This window comes from Homo sapiens, chromosome 10, assembly GCF_000001405.40.
Source record: "Homo sapiens chromosome 10, GRCh38.p14 Primary Assembly".
NCBI classification, from domain to species: domain Eukaryota; kingdom Metazoa; phylum Chordata; class Mammalia; order Primates; family Hominidae; genus Homo; species Homo sapiens.
The window spans coordinates 128163203-128168118 of record NC_000010.11 but is presented as its reverse complement, the minus strand read 5'-3'; the positions used below and the strand labels follow the sequence as shown (position 1 = coordinate 128168118).

Here is a 4916-nt window from a genome sequence, read left to right as displayed (position 1 = left end):
CTCTGGTGCGGCTCCCAGCGGGAGAGGCAATGTCCTTCCAGGTGATGGCTCTGCACATAGGCAACAATGCTCTCCCCTTGTACCAGCCACTGGTATTTTCAATTATATGGTTCTCAAAAGTCCGAAAGTCACCCACAACTCACTAAATTCATGTGACCACCTTCCCCCCAAAAAATGTGCTTTTGAGCCCCTCTGGTTGAAAGTGAGAAGAAAACGGTTGTGCCCTATCACGCTCTAAACAGAAGCTACAAGTCTGTTTGTAACTGGGATTAAATTGCTAGATGAATGGATGGATGTGTCACAGGAAAAGCACCCAAGCAAATCCTCATCACTTTGCTTCATTGCTGTTATCAGAAAATGTAGCAACACCAGGCATACATTAAGAATTGGAAGAAGCCACCAGTCGGCCCTCTGGTTGCTGTCTGCAGGGTATAAACAGTGAGCCTTTTGTCTCTTTCCACCAGCAAAACTACCTTTTCATAATCTCAGAAGATTATTGCACTTTTAGAAAATTATTCAGTCCTCAAGGATCTAGAACCAGAAATACCATTTGACCTAGCAATCCCATTACTGGGTATATACACAAAGGAATATAAATCATTCTATTATAAAGATACGTGCACATGTATGTTTATTGCAGCACTATTCCCAATAGCAAAGACATGGAACCAACCCAAAGGCCCATCAACGATAGACTGGATAAAGAAAATGTGGTACACATACACCGTGGAATACTATGCAGCCATAAAAAGGAATGGGATCATGTCTTTTGCAGGGATGTGGATGAAGCTGGAAGCCATCATCCTCAGAAAATTAACTGTTCTCACTCATAAGTGGAAGTTGAACAATGAGAACACATGGACACAAGCAGGGGACCAGCACACACCAGGGCCTGTCAGGTGAGGGGGCGAGGGTGAGGGGAGGGCGAGCATTAGGACAAATAGCTAATGCATGCCGGGCTTAAAACCTATGAGACATGTTGCTGGGTGCAGCAAACCACCATGGCACATGCATCCCTTTGTAAGAAACCTGCACATTCTGCACGTGTATCCTGGAACTTAAAGTAAAAAAAATAAAAATATATATTAAATAAATAAATAAATAAGAATAAATATTATCAGAACTACTAATGCGGGCAAGGGGATGACTTTGCCTTAACTAGTAGATTACAATGGCTACTTTGCACCATGCCTACCTATGGGATCAAAAAAGAAGAAGAAACAAGTTCTAATGCCATCAACTTGCTTCTCTGCTCGTTTTAAAGTTTTTGTTTTTTTTTTTTTTTACTCAATGGCCTAAATTTCAAGCAGAGAAAAATATATGCAGCTAAGGTAAACAAAGCTATTTGAACAATACCTTCCATCCTAAGAACTAACATTTAACCTGGTGTTCTAAAAGATGATACTTGCAAATATGGCTAAGCCATGTATTCAATTCTGTTCAACTACTGGTGTGAAATTTTAATCAAAAAACTAGAGAGCTCATTCAAAAAAGAAATTAGTGAAAAAACTTTGGTCGTCTCTCATCAGTGAAAACTGATTTAGTTATGCAAATTACTGCTATGAATATTAAACCACTGATGAAAGGTTTTTAATGAAGGGATCTTTTGTTTTGGAAATGCAAGGGTATATGCTTTAATTTCTTGCTAATTTACTGTTCTTTGATAATGTTCACATTTTCCCCAAAGTGGCTTTGCTGATGGGTTTAATACTGTGAATAGAACTACAGACCAACAATACTGGTTTTGACAAGCTTTCCCTTGTGTAACTATACATCGTGATTTGCATCCCCTTATGCACAATTCTATTAGGGTGAATTTTGTCTACAGGGCTTTCCCTGAAATGAATTCTCATTTTAATGTTAGCCTCCTGCAGTTTTTAATTTTTAATCTGTAATATGAAATTGCAAATTTTACAAACATCATTTGAAAAAGCCACTAGGACAGAACCGAATGCCAAAGTTTACATATTGCCTAATTAGACTGTTATGAGAGGCAGCTTATCAATGTCACACCAAAGATCATCAAAAAATCCAATTACTAATTTGAAAAACACATATATTTATAGGTTCATTTTGTTTCATTTGCATCCGGTTAGCTCAATAATTGTTTTAAAATTGTATTAAGGCTAATAATTTGGGTTTCACTGGTAAAGTACCTGCACTGCCAAGGCGGTGCCCTGCCCTGCTGGCCACTGTGAGTGACAGTGGTGCTGTGGCCAGGCCACCAAAAAGAGACCTCCTGCCATGCAAAGCTCCGGTCCTCAGGTACCGCGGAGAGAAATCTTTTCAAAATGGAAAGACCTCACATCACCTTGCCAAGGAGGCCAGGTTCCAGTGGATGGAGCCTCGGGCAGTCTGCAGATAATTAAGAATAAGTGAGAGGCAGCAAAGGAGCGGGCACAGGGCCCCATGCTGGGAAAGGAGTTCCATAGATGGGTGGGCGGAGACCTCTGGCCTGGGGAGCTGGCCTCAATCATTCCAGAAGAACAAAAGCAGCTTCCTTCAAACTTTCTTGTCCTGGAGAATGTCAACAAGCACAAAAGCAAAGAGAACATACCCCTACTGCCCCCACTTCAATATTCAGCAACTAGGGGCTGATTGGCCCACCCACCTCCTTTCCCTCTTCCAACATTATATTGGAGCAAATCTTGGGAAACCATTGTTCCAACCATAGAGATTTGGGGACTATCTTGAAAAAGTCTTTAAAAGACTTTAAGCATAAAAATGTATCATACCTGAAAAATTTAGTAAGAATTTCTTAATATTGTTAGATAGCCGGAGTTCAGCTTTCCAATTGTCCCATAAATGTCCCAAATAATTGATTTCTTTACAGTTTGAGTCAAGATGCAAGTTGACTCACATCATAAGTTTCACATGGTAATTGGCTGATATGTTAAAGTTGCTTTTAATTTCTAAGTTCCAACCAACTCTCTCTCTCCCTATCTGTACCTCTCTCTCTCCCTATCTCTAGCTCTATCTCTATTTCTGTCTCTATCTTTATCTCTTTCTTCAATGTGTTTATCCATTAAAGAAGCCAATCATTTGTTTTGTGTAATTTCCCTCTGTTTGGATTTTGCTGACTATGTCCCTCTGGGGTCCTTGACACACTCCTCCATCCTTTGTATTCCCTGGGATTTGGTAGTTGAATCTATAGCATTTATGAGACTCAGTTTTGTTTTTGTTTTTTGGCAAGACTACTTCATAGGTGGGTATATCTTTCCACCAAGAGTTGTGTAAAAGTAGGAACTTTTAAATTTGCTTATTTCTCATTTCCAAATGAATATTCAATGCAAACATTACAAATAATTCAAAAGAAGAAAGAGGCAGTAAGATGCATCCTTCCAGATATTTCATCGTCTGTATATGTTGTATTTTTCTTCCTTGTATATTTGTTGTCATGAAATAGGATCATGCTATACATTCTTGTCTTAGAAATTGTGTTTTTCACTTAATAAAATACCATATGCACTGTTGCTAAATCACTGAACTCTCCTTAAACTGTTATGAGTTGCCTTTCTAACTCTTCATTTTATTAGGGCAGCTTCTCGAAATAATCTGGGGTTTAAGTTGACTTTTCAGACTCAAAATTTTTGTACCTATCTTGAAGAATAACTCACTAATTTGCTTATTCCACATCCCAGCTTTTAAATTAATAAAAGCAGTCATTCCTTTTGAGTATAAATGATATTTTCTTACAAACAATGAGAAAATAGTGATCTAAAACTGGCATTTTCTGCTCACATAAAATCCTAACGCTGCCTTAAATGTTGGCAACCAGAGTTTCCTGGCCCCCTGAGCTGTGGATGGTGACGGAGGCCTCTCCCTGAGACTCCCACAGCCCAGGCCACACAGTAAGATGCTCGTTTGCTTTCATTGCTGTTCTTTTCCACTGAACTTTTTTGCACCACCATTTCCCCTGCCTAAGGCTGGCCCTCCACGTCCAGTCTCAGAACCCAGGAATTTGAGGTGTCACAAAGAGTACTACATGGGAAGATTCTGACCAGAGACCCGAGGGAGGGAGCTGTGTTTAAGGAAAGATAGAAAGGGAAAGCCCGTTTGTGGGGTGCCTGTGGTTTGCTTGTGTGTTTTCCATATGCCAGTTCATTTAATTCTCACAGCTTCCCTGAGAAGCAGGCTTTTTACCCTTTCACCGATGAGAAAATCAAGACTCAGAGAGGTTTGGAAACTGGCAAAAAGCCACACATCCTGTTGCAAAGCCAGGACTCCAACCTGCTCTGCCTCATTCCAAAGCGCATTTCCACTGTAGCGTCTAAATTGAGTTGTAAGAAACCTGGATCCTCTGTAATACAAGCTGATGATCTCAAACCAACTGGCCCAAGACCACATCGAGAGGCCCTGATAGATCAGGACCAGTCCAGGAGGTTGAAATGAGGGGGACCCATATGTTGCCCTCTCTTTGGGGGACTTTGTAAATGGCAAATCAAGGGCCGGATTCAGCAAAAGTTAAAAAAACACTAGAGCTCCAAGAATAGCAGTGCAGGACACTTTGCTAAGAAATTATCCAGGCCACTGAGGCTGTAACAACCTACAGAGTCCCTGATATTCCCATTTTAGGGATGGAGAAACTGAGGCCCACACAGGCTAAGCAGCTGCCAATGACAGGGGATCTGGGGTCCAACTCACCCTGAGTGCCCAGCTCCCCACCAGCTGCCCCAACAAAGGGGCTTCCTTTAGAAAAGACCCTCATTCTCAGGTAACCAGCCCCACGGCTGGCTTCTCTGGAAGCCCTCGTGGGTGCCCCTCCCACCCAGCCCACTCTACACGCAAAACCCAGTTCAACAACTCTCCATGATGCCGGCTGGGTTTGTGCTGCCTGTGGAGCTGGGAACCTAAGGGGCGTCACTAATAACCTGGTGCTGAGATATAGGGACAGGGATCGCTCTTGTCCTGTGGTC

The 4916-nt window shown here is 41.6% G+C and overlaps 1 annotated feature.

Annotated features, from left to right (window-relative positions):
- Positions 2101 to 2683: an enhancer, noted in NCBI's record as "NANOG hESC enhancer chr10:129963700-129964282 (GRCh37/hg19 assembly coordinates)". NCBI's record gives its function as "activates a minimal SCP1, AML or CMV promoter by ChIP-STARR-seq in naive H9 embryonic stem cells {active_cell/tissue: H9 hESC(naive)}" and the evidence as "EXISTENCE:reporter gene assay evidence [ECO:0000049][PMID:30033119]".